This window comes from Homo sapiens, chromosome 17 (assembly GCF_000001405.40).
Source record: "Homo sapiens chromosome 17, GRCh38.p14 Primary Assembly".
In the NCBI taxonomy this organism is placed as follows: Eukaryota; Metazoa; Chordata; class Mammalia; order Primates; family Hominidae; genus Homo; species Homo sapiens.
This window is the reverse complement of record NC_000017.11, coordinates 66979672-66998530: the sequence shown is the minus strand read 5'-3', so window position 1 is coordinate 66998530 and position 18859 is coordinate 66979672. Positions and strand designations below refer to the sequence as shown.

Sequence of the window (18859 nt, the reverse complement as noted above, 5' to 3'; positions counted from 1 at the left end):
TGAGGCTCAGGAGTGCTCACGTTAAATAAGTATCCCAGGGATGGGTGCGGTGCAATTCCAGCACTTTGGGAGGTTGAGGCAGGAGGATTGCTTGAGTTCAGGAGTTTGAGTGAGACCCCATCTCTACAAAAAGCAAATTTAAAAAATTAGGCATGGTGGTGTGCACCTGTAGTCTCAGCTACTCAGGAGGCTAAGGCAGGAGGATCACCTAAGCCCAGAGTTGGAGGCTGCAGTGAGCCATGACTGCACCACTGCACTTCAGCCTGGGGGACAGAGCAAGACTCCATCTCTTTAAAAATAAAAAAGATCTCCAGTGGTCTGCAGGATGTCTGAGGCCTCACTGTGGGGAACTCTGCTTCAGATTGGGGGCCTCAACATTTGCGGCATAGATGGAGTCTTCCTCCAATGCCACTCTATCCAGAACAGCCCTGACGTGTCCTGAACCCTGACATTGCAAGGCAAACAGTCCAACATCCTTGAGCTTTGCAGTTCTTCTCACATGTGGTCCCTTTCCTGGTTCCTGTGGCCTTTCTCTCTCACGCCCTCCTAATCACTCCCTGACTGGTCCTTTCCAGTCTCTCTCAGGATCTCCTCCTCCTTCCCTTCCTTCTCAGGGGTGTGCAGCTTCTCCTCTGTCCTCAATTTCCATTCTCATGCTCCTGTTGGTGACCTCTGCACAGGTGTGGGTTTTTTGTTTGTTTGTTTGTTTGTTTTTGACAGGGTCTCACTCCCATTGCCCAGGCTGGAGGGCAGTGGCGTACTCTTGGCTCACTGCAACCTCCACCTCCCAGGCTCAAGCGATCCTCCTGCCTCAGCTTCCTGCATAGCTGGGATTACAGCCGTGTGCTACCACGCCCAGCTAATTTTTGTATTTTTAGTAGAGATGGGGTTTCCCCACATTGGCCAGGCTGGTCTCGAACTCCTGACCTCAAGTGATCTGCCCGCCTCAGCCTCCAAAAGTGCTGGGATTATAGGTATGAGCCACTACACCCTGCCTGGTTTTAACCATTCTCTTTGCACTGCAATTCCTCAGACTCAGGCATCCCATCCCCGGGGACATCTCCACCTAGAAGTCCAACAGGGGCCACAGGGCTCAGCATGGCTCAAACTAAGGTGTCATCCTGCCCTTTGTAACCCTCCATCTACTCTCATTGCCTTCTTGCTCCCACCCTCTGGGGGTCCTCACTGGAGGGCGTCTTGACTCTTCCCTCTTCCTCATCCGGCCTGTATTTCATCCATCAGCCGACCTTGGAATTCCACATCCTTGATGCCTCAAATCCACCCCTCTTATCCATCCACACTGCCCTGCCCTAGTTTGGGTTTGCATAACTCTTCCTTTTTACTGGTATCCCTGTTGCTGCTTCCCTCAAAACCACCTGCCAGGACAATCTGGTGACATAGGACTTTGACCACAGCACCATCACTGACCTTCCACCTCCCACAGCATAGAGTTTGGTCATGCCAGCCATCACAGCTGGTTCCTGCTGACCCTGAGTCCTGTTGCTGGCCCCACCCTCCAATAACCCTGAGCTCCGCAGGGAGCTCATGCTGTTTCGAACCATCTTCTAGCTTGGGCTGTTCCCTTTGTCCTGCCCTCGTCCCCTTATAAACTCTCAGAAGTCATCAGGGCAGGCGCTGCCCCTTCTAAGAAGCCCTCAGGGACCTGTCCCCCTCTTCTCTTTTGCATTCTCGTAATGGTCTGTACACATCCCTGTCATTGTAACCTCCTGCATTATTTCTAAATTGTGTCTCCCCGTGAGCCAGGGGTCTGGATCTGAGACTGACTTGTCTTTAAACCAAACCTTCTATTTAGTCTCTGCTCGATTCATGTTGGTTGAATTGCACTAATGGGCTGGGCACGCTGGCTCATGCCCATAATCCCAGCACTTTGGGAGGCCGAGGCAGGCAGATCACCTGAGGTCAGGAGTTTGAGACCAGCCTGGCCAACATGGTGAAACCCTGTCTCTACCAAAAAATACAAAAATTGGCTGAGCGTCATGGCGTGCCCCTGTAGTTCCAGCTACTGGGGAGGCCGAGGTGGGAGAATTGGTTGAACCTGGGAGGCGGAGGTTGCAGTGAGCCGAGATCACACCACTGCACTCCAGCCTGGGTGACAGAGCGAGACCCTGTCTAAAAAAAAAAAAAAAAAAAGAATCGGACTGATGTTCTTTCTCCAAAGAGGGCTCTGAGGGACTCAGGATCTAGGAGGCCAGGGGAGGCACTGCTCTCTCCTGGCTCCCTGGCTCTGTGTCTGCGTGCAAAAGGCAGAAAAAAAAATCCACTCTGCCTTCTGCCCTCTTTACCACTAGCGAGTAAGATACCCAGGAATGCCATCAGAATGCCCAACCACGGAGCAGAGAGGCATTGGCAGAGCATGCGGTGCCCCATCCACAAGATGCCACTGGAATGAGCTGCTTGTCATCAACCTCCTAAGTCAACCAGTCGCTCCTGGAAGCATGGCTTGATTGTAATGTGATAAATATTAATGTCCTAGAGGCGAATCCAACGGGCCACACTCAAAACCAGGGTTTGGGATTCAGTGGAACCAGATGTCAGACTGGTTTCATGTCACTCAGTTCCAAAATCAAAGTAAAAATCACCCCCTCACAAATAGGTTGAACTGATGGCAATAAGGAAAAATGGAAAAACCTAGAGGTCTCTATAGATCCCATTTTTTTTTCAAGATGGAGTCTTGCTCTGTCACCCAGGCCGGAGTGCAGTGGCACGATCTTGGCTCACTGCAACCTCTGCCTCCTGGGTTCAAGCAATTCTCCTGCCTCAGCCTCCCGAGTAGCTAGGATTACAGGTGCCCACCATCACACCCAGCTAATTTTTGTATTTTTAGTAGAGACGGGGTTTCACCATCTTGGTCAGGCTGGTCTCGAACTCCTGACCTCATGATCTGCCTGCCTTGGCCTCCCAAAGTGCTGAGATTACAGGGGTGAGCCCCTGCGCCCGGCCTAGATCCCATTTTTAACACAACCCACACTGTCATAAATTCCTGTAGTCCTGATATTTCAGAAATGCTGGCCTACTCCGAGAAGATGCTGGCAAACCAGGCCTGGACTCATGAGGCCTCCAACCCTGCAAGGTTCCATTCTGCCCTTCCAGTGCCTCCCTTTTGCTTAGCTGGGGCTGAAGAGCCCGACCTTCCTCAGGCTTCATGAGAGGCTGCCGTGTGATCACAAAGCTTTCATTATTCATTAAGCCATTTTCCCTCCCAGTCGAGGTCTGGATCCAGACATAGGAATAGCACATCCTTCAGTTCTCCAGCAGAAACCCCCTCTCAATGGACAGAAGCCAGAGACACCCATTTCCAGAGGTGCAAATAACAGCTGGAAAATGAAGTTTATCACGGTGCCACGACCCGGGGCAGTGGCGTGAGGGCGCCAGGGCCACCTCCACGGAGGCCTGAATATTCTACATCTAATGACTCTGAGTAACCAGCTTTTCACTGTTAGATACCAGATTGAACTTGATTTGAAATTGGCCCGGGGGGAAACTTGTTAAAGAAAAAGAAAGATCTGAGATGGATCTTTCTTTGCAAGGTAATTTGCAAAGCAGTTCTCTCCAGCTGCATCCCACAGCCATAGATTTCCGGATATTCAAGGGGGCGAATGGCTCCAGTCCTCCTCCTACCAATGCCCCCATTCCCCCCTTCACCACCCTGCCTGGGAAGACCTCTCACTCCCTCCCCCTCCACTACCACTGGCCTCTGAGAACGTATGGAGGAGGCGCTGAGTGCTAACTCTGTACAGGTGCAATGACATTGATGTTGCTGTTACATCAGTGAATCCTCCTGAAAATCCAGAAGATAGGGACTGCTGTTCCCATTTCACAGAGGAGAAAACGGCAGTTCTGGGAGATGACCAACTGGAGAAAGCCGGGACCTGAACATCATTGTATCTGGTTCCAAAGGGCATGCTTTCTACTTGCATGACACCCAGCTCCCAGGCTCCGTGGTCACCAGGACTGGGCCCCTGGGGGGCCAGGGTGGCATTCTGGCTGACAGCAGCATGGGCTGCTTGCTTAATCCCTCTGTGCCGCACCTTCCTGCTCTGAATAGCCAGGATAATGACAAGATCTATCTCCCAGGGTGAGGGCAAGGCAAACACGCGAGGTCCTGACACACACGGTGTGCTGAGGCACCTTTTCCATGCGTGTCTGCTAGTAGCGGAGGCGCAGTTTTTTTTTTTTTTTTTTGGAAATAGGGTCTCGCTCTGTCACCCAGGCTGGAGTGCAGTGGCTTGATCATACCTCACTGCAGCCTCAAATTCCTGGGCTCAAGCAATCCTCTCACCTCAGCCTCCTGAGTAGCTAATACTATAGGCATGCTCCACACTGGGCTAATTTTCTATTTTTAGTAGAGACAGGGTTTCACCATGTTGCCCAGGCTGGTCTTGAACTTGTGGCTTCAAGTAAAGCTCTCACCTCGGCCTCCCAAAGTGCTGAAATTATAGCTGTGAGCCACCGCACCTCTGGTCTCTTAAAAAAATGTTTTTTTTTTTTTATGTGTATATTTGAGGGTTACAACATGATGTTATGGGATACATATAGAGACAGATGGATAGTACAGTAGTTACTACCCTGAAGCAAGTTAAAGAATCTCATTGGCCGGGTGTGATGGCTCACGCCTGTAATCCCAGCACTTTGGGAGGCTGAGGTGGGTGGATCACGAGGTCAGGAGTTTGAGACCAGCCTGGCCAATATGATGAAACGCCGTCTGGTGAAACGCCGTCTTTACTGAAAATACAAAAGTTAGCCGGGCATGGTGGCGGGTGCCTGTAGTCCCAGCTACTTGGGAGGCTGAGGCAGGAGAATCGCTTGAACCCTGGAGGCAGAGGTTGCAATGAGCCGAGATCGCGCCACTGCACTCCAGCTTGGGTGACAGAGCAAGACTCCATCTCAAAAAAAAGAATCTATCATCTCACATGGTTACTTTTTAAGCACTTTTGTCCCTGGGTGAGCCCCCTTGTGTGTGCAAGAACAGGCGTGGGAGTGCCCTGGTGACCTGGCAATGGAGGAGATTGTGAGTTGTCCAAGCCTGGCCCCAGCTAGAGGGTGAAGCAGTCTTCTGCCCCCAGATGTATGAACTCTCCTCTGGGAAGATGAAGCTCTTCTTTGGGGTGTGGCCATAGGGAATGGCCTCAGTGGCAGGAGCAAAGCCTCTTCCAGCACCAGTGATGACACAGCCCTGCGAGCCAGTGGCCCTGCCTACCCAGCCACTCAGAGCTTCGTCTCCAACTGAGCCTTAATTCACAGGACCGCTGCCAACGCTCATTAATAAATGATGGAAAACCTCTCAGCAAATGCCAAGCCCCGAAATGGTGCCATGAGGCCCCCACCACAGGCCTCAGGCCCACACGAGCCACCGTCAGGCAGCCTTGGAGTCCCCTGGCTGGGGATTGGGGTGGCTGAGCCCCAGTGGATGCCAGCTGAGCACCACAGGTGCCACCCTGAGGGTTCTCACAGCCTGTCCCAACCCAGTGGATGAGCCGGGCCAGCTGCTGTAGACACAGCGCACGCTAGGTGCAAGGTGGGCGCTCCCTCTGGGAAACCCACACAGAGGGGCCCGATCTTCCTGAGAAGTCCCACTTGGGTGATGGTTCTACCTGGGGTTTTATGTATGGCCCAAACGAGGGCAGATCCAGATTCTGTTGGGTCCTGAAGTTTGTGTAAGCAGACAGGCCCTCATAAAGAAAAATAACACACAATCACAAGTGCGAAATGACACTCAGGAAGGGCCCATGATGCTTTAGTGTCTGGGAAGTCCAGCTTTGGGCTCATCCAGCCAAGGCCCTCGGCCCTAGGACAGAGAAACCGGTGCAAACGCAACAGCCTCTCCGGCTCTGTTACCTTCTCAGGAAGCCTCCACCAGGCCAGGGGCTCTGAACCACGCTCTGGGGAGCCATGGGATGCCTCGAAGGGGCCCACATGGGCAGCTCCCACCTGACCCTCCCTCTATCCAGCCATGGCAGGGTTGCTTCCAGCTGTTTTCTAGACATAACCCCCTTCTAGAAAGGTGGGTGTGCTGGTGGGTAGTGCCAGGTTTGTTTTGTGCTGCTGGGAGGCCTTTCTTATTTGATGGATCCCCTGCGCCTGGGAGAACCAGTGCTAGGTTGAATGAATGAATGAATGGTGAATGAATGATAGGTGGGGATAGGACCTAAATAAGCTCTTCTGATCTCAACTTTTTGAAACTTCCCATACAGAGATTCTTGGATTGATCCAACATGGGGTCCCCACCCGTCTCCTCCCCAATCTATGGGACCTATTCATTCATGTAGCAAACATTCACTGAGGGTGCTGACTTGGTGGGGCAATTAGGTACTCAAGGGTGAGAAAGGAGGCATCACAGCCCCCCCCCCCCAGGAGCTTGGCGGAGCAACCAGGTACCCCGTGACATGACATAACACATTCAGCCAAAGTCTGGGCACAAACCCCGTGCTCCAAGAGTCCAGAGAAGGGAGGTGTCACCACCAACTGGAGATGAGTAAGGCTTTGTGGGGAAGGTCACCTTTGAGTGAGTCTTGAGGGATGGACAGAGTGAGTTGGGTGGGCAGGCAGCTCGCATTCCAGCAGGCATGGTGGTAAGAGAGGCAGTAAGTGTAAACCAGACAGTGAAATTTCAAGTTGGACTCTCCTTTGAAGTGGTGAAGAGAGGTCGGCCTGCAGATCCTGCCTTCACACCTCTGGCTTCTGTACACTTCAACATCAGGGCCAGGTGATGCCCTGAAATGTACAAGGTTTCCGGCCTTTGGCTGGAGACACGCCTTCCTGGTGGGTCACATATCAGAGAATCATGAACATGTGGTTGGGAGTTGTCAGGTCTTACTCAGGGTTAATATCTGGGGGCTGAATCCTGTCTGGATGGTTCCCCATCAGGATGGGGGGCAAAACAACTGACACACATCCTCGCAGGCCCGTATCCTTACCCATGTGAGTAGGGAGGTGTTGCCAGTCTACTGAATACCCAACAGGAGAACAGACTCAAGCAGCTAAATGGACCAATTAGTGACCACCCAGGAGCAAAGACATCTGCCACCGACCTGCATAGCCCCCTGCCCCACTGCTTTGCTCAGCACTAGGAGGGGAGAGGGGGCACTCCTCTTATGGGATCTGGCTTCTGGGAAGAGGAGAAACATGCCTCACACAGTACAGGAAGGAGAGGTCTTTCGGAAGTGTTTTTTTTTGTTTGTTTGTTTGTTTGGGGATGGCAATTCATCTTCATCTTTCACCAGGCAAAGCTGCTGTGATTCTTACCATTTGGGAGAAGGGGAAGGGGCAGTGGAAACGGTGAGATGGGTAGGACCTGCCGAGATCAAGCTGGAGCCCAGGGAGGCTTCTGACTCCAGGACCAGGTGCCTTCCACCTGCACCACCCACCTGTGTTTTCCTCTGTGCTGGAGATTTGCTTGCAAAAGGGAGGGAGGGAGCGCCATTCACCGAGCTCCTAGCAACTGCCAGCGCTTTACGGTTTGACTCATCTAATCCTCATATCAGCCCTTTGAGTCTGGTATTAATGTACCCCTTTTTAAAATAAGGAGACTTAGGCCGGGCGCGGTGGCTTACTCCTGTAATCCCAGCACTTTGGGAGGCTGAGGCGGGCGGATCACGAGGTCAGGAGATCGAGACCATCCTGACTAACACGGTGAAACCCCGTCTCTACTAAAAATACAAAAAATTAGCCGGGCATGGTGGCGGGCGCCTGTAGTCCCAGCTACTCAGGAGGCTGAGGCAGGTGAATGGTGTGAATCCGTGAGGCGGAGCTTGCAGTGAACTGAGATCACACCACTGCACTCCAGCCTGGGCGATAGAGCGAGACTCCGTCTCAAAAATAAATAAATAAAATAAAATAAAATAAAATAAAATAAAATAAAATAAGGAGACTTAGATTTAAAGAGTGCAGAAGAAAATTTCGTAAGATCAACTCTCCACCCCTAGTGAGGGACAGAACCAGAAATCAAAGTCAAGTTCATCTGACCGGAGACCACCCTTTGCACCAAAGCCCCTTCCATCTGTGGTAGGCAGAGTTCTAAGATGGCCCGAAAGATACCCACCCGCTGCTGTGTGCCCCTGTATAACATCCTCCCCTTGAGTGTTGGAGGAACCTGTGAATATGATGATTCAATTACGTAATATAAGACTCTGTTGTGGCAGATTGGAGGGGAAGAAATCAGAGATGTTCCTGTTGGCCTGGAAAAAAACAAATAGCCATGCAGTGAACTGCCAAGGGGGCCACGTGGCAAGGACTGTGGGTAGTTCCCAGGAGCTGAGAAGTCCTGGCTGATGGCTAGCAAGAGAATGGCAGTCTTTGTCTCATAACCACAACCGGGTCAATTCTGCCAACAACCAGTGAGCATGCAAGAGGTCCCCAAGCTAAGAAAGGGAAGCCGCCTGGCAAATATCTCAATTGCATCCTTGAAGACTTAAGCAGCGGATGCGGCTAAGTGTGTCCAGACTCCCAGTCCACAGAGACTGGGAGATAATAAATCTGTGTTGTTTTCAGCCACTAAGTTTTGTCAATTTGTTAAGAAGCACAAAGAAAATGAATGTATTTTTCACCCAAAGTCGCTCATTTTGCCTTCAGGACCCCAGTCCAGCCTTGGAAATAGTCACTGACCCAGAAAGAAAGAAAAAATTTTCATGTTGCTTCGACAAAAGTGTTTCATCCGAGACTCAGTTTCCTCCACTGTCAATCAGGAAAGGAACAGTACCCACATTGGGAGGTTGGTGGGCGGTTCAGGGAGGTGACACATACATGTTCTTAGCCTACAAAGGGAGTTCTCAACACACCGTTGCTAACAAAATCAACTTTCTTTTATTTGAGGCTACCCCCTCTTGGAGAGCAGCATGGGAAACACTTCGGAAGCGTGGTTAATTCGGCAGTTATTTGCAAGGCTGAATTAATCTCCTTGTATTGGTTTTCTGGGGCTGCCATGACAATGTACCACAAACGAGCTGGCTTAAAACAACAGAAGTTTATCCTCGAATGGTTCTGGGGGCTAGAAGTCCAACATCAAAGTGTCAGTGGGGCCATGCTCTCTCTGAAGGATCTAGGAAGGATCTGCCCCATGCTTTTCTCTTAGCTCCTGGTGTTTGCTGGCAACCCCGAACATTCCCTGGCTTGTAGCTGCATCACTGCAATCTCTGCCTCCATCTTCTGTGTCCTTCTCCGTCTGTGTCTGTCTCTTCTCCTTTTTTTTTTATAAGAACCCAGTCTATTAAACGAAGGCCTATTCTAATGGAGTATGACCTCATCTTAACTTGATGACATCCAAAAAGACTCTATTTCCAAATAAGGTCAGATTCCCAGGTTCCAGGCATCAGGGCTTTGACATATCTTTTTAGGGGACACAGTTCCATCCATAATTCTCCCTGAAGCTAAAGATGCCGGGAATAAAAAGCTCTTAGCAGCTTCTGTTTCTCTTCTCATTTAACTCTCTTGCCTTTTTTTTTTTTTTTTTTTTTGAGGCAGAGTCTTGCTCTGTTGCCCAGGCTGGAGTACAGTGGCATGATCTTGGCTCACTGCAACCTCCACCTACTGGATTCAAGTGATTCTCCTGCCTCAGCCTCCTGAGTAGCTGGGATTACAATCACCTACCACCACAACTAGCTAATTTTTTTGTATTTTTAGTATAGACAGGGTTTCACCACGTTGGTCAGGCTGGTCTTGAATTCCTGGCCTCAAGTGATCCACCCACCTTGGCTTCTCAAAGTGCAGAGATCACAGGCGTGAGCCACCGCGCCCTGCCTCCTTTGCCTTTTCAACGCCTTACGTAAGATAGAACTAGAAATGGGAAGCCCCCACCAAGAAATTTCAGGAAGATTCTGGTCTAAGAGAGGCAAAGAGACCCCTCTGACGTCCCATATCTCCTTAGAGCCTCTGGAGAGCAGCAGAGACCATGAGCTGCTCTGTTGCAACCGACTGGTGACAGATCCAAGGGCCGGATGCATTACTGAGGTGAGGCGAGGCGAGGGGGCAAGTGATGGGGATGGGCGGGGAGGCCCTGCAGGAGGCCAGGCAGACACGCGGAGCCAAGAGGCAGATGCAGCAACATCCCTCATGATGGAGCTGGATTTCCAAGAAAAACAGAAACTCTGCTTCCTCACTTCAAAGAAAAGCTGGTGCCGCAGATTCAAGGGCCTTTTCCTCTCCTGCTTGCCGGCGGCTGTTTGGAGATGAGATACATGCACACAATAGTTCTGATGACCGGACTGGCCGAGTCACAGGACACCCTGGAGCAGACAGCGCTGAGCCTTGATGCGTGTGCTCCAGCCTGGGTCTTCCCGCCATGGCAACAGGACAGGATGAGCTCCAGGCAGATGGAACTGCAGACGCTGTGTGATGGCCTCACATGCTCCCAGGTGCAGTACACGGGGATTCATGCAGCCAAGCTGGGTGCTATCAGGGTGGTAGCTCTGTGACCACACTGTGTGCAGTTGCATGTGTGTGTGTGTGTGTATATATATATATACACACACACACACACACAAAAAGGATGTATAGCCATAAAGCACACTCTCAAGGGCTCCCACTCTGCCTCCTTTCCTGGGTGCATACCTAGAGTATGCACACACTGGGACCATGCCCAGTCTCGAGCATGCCAACATCGTGCATGAACCGGCACACAGAGACCAACAGTAAGCTCTGCTCACCAGCTGAATGCACCGCTGAGATCGCTTCTTTATCCCAGGAACCATGCTTCCCAGGCTCCCTTGCCCTTGGCTTCTGGGTAGGTTTGGTCAGTAGGAGGCTCTGATGGAAAAGAGGGCCGTCAAAAGGGGAAAGTCAGGGTATTTCGCCCCCTCTTCCTTGGACAGTGTTTCTGCAGCTGCTGCATCTCCTCTGGGGGTCTAGTTACTTCTGGAAAGCCCCTCCCTCTGTGGTCCCAACCTCCTCCGGTAAAACCACTCTCTCATTTTCTCTCTGAAAGGGGCTTCCTGCAGCCCCACATCTCAGTGCCTGATGCTTCTCCTGTTTGGCTTCTCAGCTCTTCCATCACCCGAGTGATCAACTCCCTCTATTAAATTTCCTCTGTCTGAAAGACACAGAGTGGTTTCTGTTTTCCTGGATGGACCCTGACTGAGAGAGTAATGATAATGACCATTTAGTAAGCATTCAGAATGTACCAGTGACTCTCACTAGGTGAGTTCTGTGAATTCTCACATGGGTAGAGGATAAGGGTGATATGTTGACTCTATTGTGTAGATAAGGAAATGAGGGTCTGGGAATCTAAATAATTTGTCCAAGAAGAAACCTCCACTTGAACCCAATTGCAATAGAAAGAATACAAACTTTGGAACAAATCCCATCTTAACCACTTAGCAGCTGTGTGACCTCAGGCAAGTTACCTAATCTTTCTGAGCCTGTTTCCTTGTTTCAGAAAATTTTCATCACCCCAAATGGAAACCCTGTACTCATTAAGCAGTCAATCCCATTCCCCTCTCCCCTCAGCCCCTGGCAACCACGAATCTGCTGTCTTTTTTCTGTAAATACACTGGATATTTCGTATAAATGGAATCACTCAAGATGTGGCTGTTAAGAATTGACTGTGTCCCCTCCCCACACCAAATCCATTCATGTAAGTCCTAACCCCCAGTATCTCAGAATGTGGCCTCATTTTGAAATAAAGTCATTACAGATGTAGTATAGTTAAGGATGATGTCATTAGGGTAGACCCTAATCCAGTATGACTGGTGTTCTTATAAAAAGAGAAATTTGGACAGAGACACATGCACCCAGGGAAAACGCCATGTGAAGAGAAGGCGGAGACGAAGGTGATGCTTCTACAAAGCCAAGGGACACCAAAGATTGCCAGCAACCACTGGAAGCTAAATTCTCTCTGTAAATTGGAGATAGTTAAAGAGTGAAGACATTAGTTAAGACGCAAGCCTTGTACCATCTGCTCCAAGCGATCTGTGCCCTCCCCCTGGAGCTGGACTTATCCGCCTCACTCATATGTCTTCTGCTCTTCCTGTGTGTCCTGTCTTGCTCAGTGACATCACCCTTCCCCATAATGGGCTCTCATTCTTGCATCCAGTCTATTTCCAAGGCACCATCTCCTTCAAATCCACCATCTCCTCCATTCCACTGTCCTAATTCAGGACTCATCCCCCCGGGCTGGAATTTTCCAGTGTTTCCCCAACAAGTGCCCCTGCCCTAGCCTTGCTCCCTCCGCTCCGTCCTGCATAGGAGAAGCCACATGAGCTCTCCAGACACACATCAGCTCTGAATGTCCCCTTGGTGAGACCCTCAACCCACACGGCTGGGCCAGGAGGGCCAGAGGCAGGCTCCTAAGCAGGTATGATGGAGCGAAGGGCCCTTTTGCTTCTGTTCTCCTACCTCCCTGTCCCCAGCTTCTGGCCTCCTCTCATAAGAGGCTTTCTGTTTCGATAGTACCAGATTTCTTAGGCATCCGGGAACAATCCCTCTGTCCCATGCATCCCAGGAGCTGGCTCAGGGCCGGGGGCCCCTGGTAGGCACTGGGTAACTATGGAATGCCCCGGAGCAGGCATGATGTTTCTGGAACTTTGCCTGTGTTCTGTCTGGAACCTTCTTCTTCTTCTTCTTCTTCTTTTTTTTTTCCTTTTTTAAACAAACTTGTGTTCATCTTCCTAAACTGGCTCACATGACTTACCATCTAGAAACTTCCCTGACCACATCCCTTGCCTCCAAGGACCTTCCTCTTCCCACTCTGTGCTACTGCCACTCCTTGGACGTGCACTTAACGCATTTCCACACAGAATCGTAACAGATGGCCGTCCCTCTGTCTCCCTTCTCCCACTGGACGCTGATTTCTTTGAGGAACAGGACAGGATTCTACTTTTCATCTGGGTGCTCCATAAAATGTCTGCTGGATGAATAAAGAATGAATAGGAGACTGCATGTGTGCATTCAGGAAGGAAGACGTGTGCCTCTGTATATTCCCCTGCCTGGGGAACTCTTACACATTCTGCAAGACAAGAGTAATGTTGCCTCCTCTGGGAAGCCCCCCGGGACTTTCCCAGGCTGATAGAGGCCAAGCCTCCCTGGAATTGAGTGCACTAAGACAAATGACACTCTAACATCACAAGCCTCACCCTGACACTCCTTTCTTTTCTTGCTTTTTGTTTGTCTCTCTTGGACAATAGACTCATTACTGAATTGCTGTCTGTTTTATTCTCTGCTATGAAGAAAACTTTCCCTATCACTTCGAATGCTGCTTGAGCAGTAGCAGACACTCAATATTAATATTTGCTGAATGAATGAATGAATGAATCTGGGAGTGCCCAGGACTCAGCCTGGGATTTAGTTTTCAAATCCTCAATGAGCATTTTCTGGATTTGAATAGAGACTAAGAAAATGCAGGTAGGGAGTTGGAAACAGATAAGGCAGGATGAGGGCGGGTGGTGGGAGCCCCCCAGAGCAGGGTACCAGGCAGTATCTCCCGATCACAGCTGCCCAGGCTGGGAGAGAGGACGGTCTCAGAGAAGCAAGGCCATTCTTTGCCCTTGGGTCAGACCCTCCTCACCCCAACCATGTCAGTCCCCTGCCACCCTTTGGTCTGGTCTCGTTGAGCTGGTGTGCTCAGCTCAGTGGGGCATTTCCCCAAGGATGAGGTCGAGGTGAGCAGAATGACACTGGGCTTGTTGTCAGCACAGACTCCCAGCCTGGTAACCCTGGGGACCCTGAGGCAGGCTCAGGCTCGAGGCTAAACTCAGGCTCGGGTTCAAGTCAAACTCTGCCCCTGCTGCTTCGCCTTCTGGGTGAAGAATCCAGGGTGACAGAACCCACCTTCCTGTGGGGTTATGAGGATCCCATGAGAGACAGCACAAGCAGATGGCGAGGCAGGAACAAGTGGGAGGTCATGTCATTCTGAACAGCTCCGAGTCTCAGAATCTGCAGATACAGGAGTATCTTTCTCCTCCAGAAGGTCAAACCCTGTTCCCAAGAGGCTGGGTGCAAAAATAAGTGCTGAATGAATGAATGAACGAGTCCCCAGAACATAGCACAGGGCTAGGCACACACATTCTCGACTAGTATTTGCTGGATCACCTAGGACTGAAGAAAATACAGGCCAGCAGTTGGGGATGAATGGGGGCGGGTGCAGGCTGGTGGCAGGCCATCTGTGAGTCTTTGTCATCCCAGACCTATATTTGTTTTTTGTTTTTGTTTTGAGACAGGGTCTTGCTTATTGCCCAGAGCTGGAGTGCAGTGGTGGCTCACTGCAGCCTCAAACTCCAGGGCTCAGGCAATCCTCCCACCTCAGCCTCCTGTGTAGCTAGGGCTAAAGGTGTGCACCACCATGTCCAGCTAATTAATTTTTTGTTGTTGTTAGAAACGGGGTCTCATTATGTTGCCAAACTGGTCTTGAACTCCTGGCCTCTAGTGATCCTCCTGCCTTGGCTTCCCAAAGTGCTAGGATTACAGGTTCAAGCCATTGCAGCTGGCTACTATTTTTAATTTTTACTGAAGATAATCTACAGAGAGTAATCCTAAGGGTGCAGTTAGATGAACATGTGTCTACACCCGTATAACCAGCACCCTGATCAAAATATAGAACATTGTTCACACACCTTGCACCCTCCCAGACAACAGCCCACAAAGGGAGCCACTGTGCTGAGCTCCGCTGCCTTGCATTCGTTTTGCCTGCTTTTGAACAGGGTATGAATGGAAACACACAGTATGATCAGCCTGTTTTTCTATCTGCTTTGTGCGAGCTGGGAGTCACCACGTGAATGCCAACAACCAGAACCTGGGTGTGAAAGTGTGCCAGTGGGTGGCAGCCCCTGCAAAACATGGGTTCCAGGGCTTTGAAGTGCATGGTTAATGTCTTCTTAAAGGATCTGTCTCGAGCAGAATGATTTTCACCTTCTTTGCGGAGAGTGCCCCATCTGAAGAGCCGCCCTCAGTCTGACAGCAGAATCCTTTCTCTTTAGACTGCATGAGTCAGACCTGGGGCCTGGCATCGTGCGTTGTTCTGGTCACGACGCTGTGCCCACCTCCTCCAAGAAGCCTGCTGTGCCAGCCCAGCCCACAGCCAGCATCTGGCAACCACGGGGACACACCTGAGGGGCGGGTCCTGCTCTCTTCCCATCTAAACTCCTCCTCCAGCCTGGGTAGCCTTCACTGTGGCCCCAGATTCCTGGGGTCACCATGGGTTATTTTGGATATTCGCAGCACACTGAGCCACCCCACAACCTCGCCTTTTCCCCAGCGTGCAGCAGGCATGTGACTGTTTTTAGCATGGGGCTGAGAAAGATCTTGCCAGGGGCTTTGGGGCTGGAGACCTGGGTGCAGGTGCTGGGGGGTGTCACAGGCTGGTGAGTCTCCCACAAGGGGAGTGCCATCCATGCTGCATTGTGAGGAGGAAGTGAACTCTGCAAAGTGCCTGCAGAGATTTTCATGTCATAGCTACCACTGTTATCAACTGGGAAGAGGTATAGCCGAATGAAGAGAATGGAATCTGAAGCCAGACAGCCTGGGTTTCAATTCTGACTTCACCACTTGTTGGCTCCGGGGCCTTGGGCAAGCTGCTTAACTTCCCCGTGCCTCAGTTTCTGCATCTACACCATGGAAGTAGTGCTAGCACCTGCCTCACAGGCTGGCGGAGGATTAAGCAAGTTAATCTATATAAAGTGCACAGGGCAATCCCTGGCACCTAATAGGAACCACAGTAGAGTTTGCTCTCATAGCCAAGCATGGTGGCTTGTGCCTGTAAATCCAGCTACTTGGGAGGCTGAAGCAGGAGGATCGCTTGAGCCCAGGAGTTTGAAGCCAGCCTGGGCAACAGAGCAAGACCTCATCTCTATAAACAAATTAAAATTAGATGGGCATGGTGGTGCACGTCTGCAGTCCCAGATACTCAAGAGGCTGAGGTGGGAGGATTGCTTGAGCCCTGGAATTCAAAGCCACAGTGAGCTATTGAGAGGTGAAGCCAGCTGGACTTCCTGGGTTGAGTGGGGACTTGGAGAACTTTTCTGTCTTACAAGAGGATTGTAAAATGCACCAATCAGCACTCTGTAGCTACGATTGTAAAACACGCCAATCAACGCCCTGTAGCTAGCTAGAGGTTTGTAAAATGCACCAATCAGCGCTCTGTGGCTAGCTACAGGTTTGTAAAATGCGCCAATTGGTACTCTGTAAAAACACACCAATCAGCACTCTGTGGCTAGCTAGAGGTTTGTAAAATGGACCAGTCAGCACTCTGTAAAATAGATCAATCAGCACTCTGTAAAACGAACCAATCAACACTGTAAAATGGACCAATCAGCATGCTGTAAAACGGACCAATCAGCAGGACATGGGCGGGGACAAATAAAGGAATAAAAGCTGGCCACCCTAGCCAGCAGCGGCAATCCGCTTGGGTCTCCTCCCACTCGTGGAAGCTTGTTCTTTCACTCTTCACAGTAAATCTAGCTGCTGCTCACTCTTTGGGTCCGTGCCACCTTTAAGAGCTGTAACACTCACCGCAAACGTCCATGGCTTCATTCTTGAGGTCAGCGAGCCCATAAACCTATCAGAATGAATCAACTCTGGACACACTATGATCCCACCACTGCACTCTAGCCTGTGTGACAGAGTGAGACCGTATCTCTAAAAATTTTTTTTTATAAGAGTTAGCTCTCTTTCTGCAATAATATACCTGAAATCTGATTAAATCATAGTTAAGTAATTAACTAGTGTGAAATTATAGCTGTTACAAAGATAAGTTGAGATAACATATGGAAAGTTCTTGAGATAATACCTAATGTGCTTGGTGCATAGCAAGGGCTCAGCAGGCATTTGCTCTTATTTTTTAAACTATTCATAATTCTGGACTCTAAACAGAGGAGCCAGCAGGAGGGTGTTGAATGGATAAGCAGCTAGGGCGGAGGGGACCTTGCCGGGCTCGCCTGAGCACCGTCCTACTCACGGGCGGCTCAAGAGGCCACTGGTGACAAACAGAGTGGGTCTCCTGTGGTTCTCTCGGCCCCAGCACCCCCAACCCTGACCCAGTGCTTTGCACAAAGGCTTGTATGTTTCAAGCCACAGTCTAGAGAAAGCAACTAGGTTTCAAAACAAAAAACCAGGTAAATTTCCTTCCCTTTCCTCCAGAGATGGGTAGACCAAAGAAGAACCCAAAAAAACTGCTTGCAAGAATATGAAGGGCTATTAAGGGTCGAAGATGATTGCTTTGTTTTCAGCTATAGGAAAGACTGAGCAAGAAGAAAGGAACAGACATTACTACTGAAGGTAGCAAATTTGATTAGAACTGAGGGATAATTTTGTAGTCCTAGTACTGGGAATCTCAGCTGGAGGATGCTGGACTTGATCAGCATCTCCTTCCATATTCCCTCGCGCTTCTGCCTTAACTGAAACTCTTGCTAAGAACAGAAGGTAACATTCTGAGCACCTGGCAACAAAGACACAAGGGGAAGCTTGTGTCTCTGCATTGATGGACATTTGAAGGGTCAACTGACTCACTGCCACAAAGAGTGAGGGATTGTTTCAGGGTCGCACGAGTCACATTGGAAACTGCCTTTCCTCCAGTATTCACCATGCAAAGATTTTTTTCTTTTTATTTACTTTTTCTTTTTTTTGTTCTTTTAGAGGAACCTCTGGAAGAAATGCAAAGATGTTTCTAACAAGGCCGGGTGCGGTGGCTCACGCCTGTAATCCCAGGACTTTGGGAGGCTGAGGCAGGCGGATTGCCTGAGGTCAGGAGTTTGAGACCAGCCTGGCCAACATGGTGAAACCCTGTCTCTACTGAAAATACAAACATTAGCCAGGTGTGGTGGTGCACGCCTGTAATTCCAGCTACTCAGGAGGCTGAGGCAGGAGAATTGCTTGAACCCAGTGAAGGTTGCAGGGAGATGAGATTGTGCCACTGCACTCCAACCTGGGCAATAGAGTGAAACTCAGTCTCAAAAAAAAAAAAAAAAAAAAGAATTTACACAAAGGGAATTGTCAATGGAAAATTTTTGAGGTAAAAGAATCTTTTATTTTAAAGAGTTTGAAGATTTTTGGTGCAATGAAGCCTGCTTAAGCTTGCCACAGGACAGTTTCCTAGGGAAATAATTTAAAAAAGCAAGCGTCTTCTGCTCAAACCTCATCGGAGTCACATATTAAGAAATCTTGAGCCATCTGACTCAGGCAGAAAAATTCTCCCTGAGGGGCCTCTCACGACACAGCTTTCCGATTAAGTACTTAGGTTTACACATGTGATAAAGGTTTGTAAAAGCATAGATCTGGGTTTTATTTCCTTCTCACTTACTTTCATGGTCAGTTTTAGCACTTTTATTGTAGGAGATGGATTTCTAGGGATGGAAGCCCAATGTGGAAATTGTGCTGACAGGAAATAAAGATTCAACTGTGGTTGGCTTGCAAAGGCTTTGATCCAGGAATCAATTTGGTTATAAGTCAGAAGTGGCCTGTAATAAAATGCTGGCAAGAAGTCGCTGGGCATAGTGCCTGGGAGCGTGTTCCTGGATGCATTTAAGAATAAAAAGAACAGGCTGGGTGCAGTGGCTCATGCCTGTAATCCCAGCACTTTGGGAGGCCGAGGTGGGCAGATCACGAGGTCAGGAGTTCAAGACCAGCCTGGCTAACATGGTGAAACCCCATCTCTACTAAAAATACAAAAATTAGCTGGGCATGGTGGCACATGCCTGTAATCCCAGCTACTTGGGAGGCTGAGGCAGGAGAATTACTTGAACCAGGACCCAGGAGGTAGAGGTTGCAGTGAGCAGAGATTGCGCCACTGCACTCCAGCCTGGGCTACAGAGTGAGACTCCATCTCAAAAAAAAAAAAAAAAAAAAAAGCATGAAAAGAACAAACACCGGCCGTGTCAAATCGGCATACACACCCATTCATCTGTCTGGAGACTGGGCTTGG

The 18859-nt window shown here is 49.9% G+C and overlaps 1 protein-coding gene across 1 annotated transcript in view, besides 2 other annotated features; it reads right to left on the bottom strand.

Annotated features, from left to right (window-relative positions):
- CACNG4 (calcium voltage-gated channel auxiliary subunit gamma 4) overlaps positions 1–18859 on the bottom strand; it is a 68692-nt gene that overhangs the window by 34868 nt on the left and 14965 nt on the right. The gene's annotated exons all lie outside the window — the stretch shown is intronic.
- Positions 12884–13143: an enhancer, noted in NCBI's record as "active region_12616". NCBI's record gives its function as "activates an Ori minimal core promoter by ATAC-STARR-seq in GM12878 lymphoblastoid cells {active_cell/tissue: GM12878}" and the evidence as "EXISTENCE:reporter gene assay evidence [ECO:0000049][PMID:35858748]".
- Positions 15063–15564: an enhancer, noted in NCBI's record as "H3K4me1 hESC enhancer chr17:64979083-64979584 (GRCh37/hg19 assembly coordinates)". NCBI's record gives its function as "activates a minimal SCP1, AML or CMV promoter by ChIP-STARR-seq in primed H9 embryonic stem cells {active_cell/tissue: H9 hESC(primed)}" and the evidence as "EXISTENCE:reporter gene assay evidence [ECO:0000049][PMID:30033119]".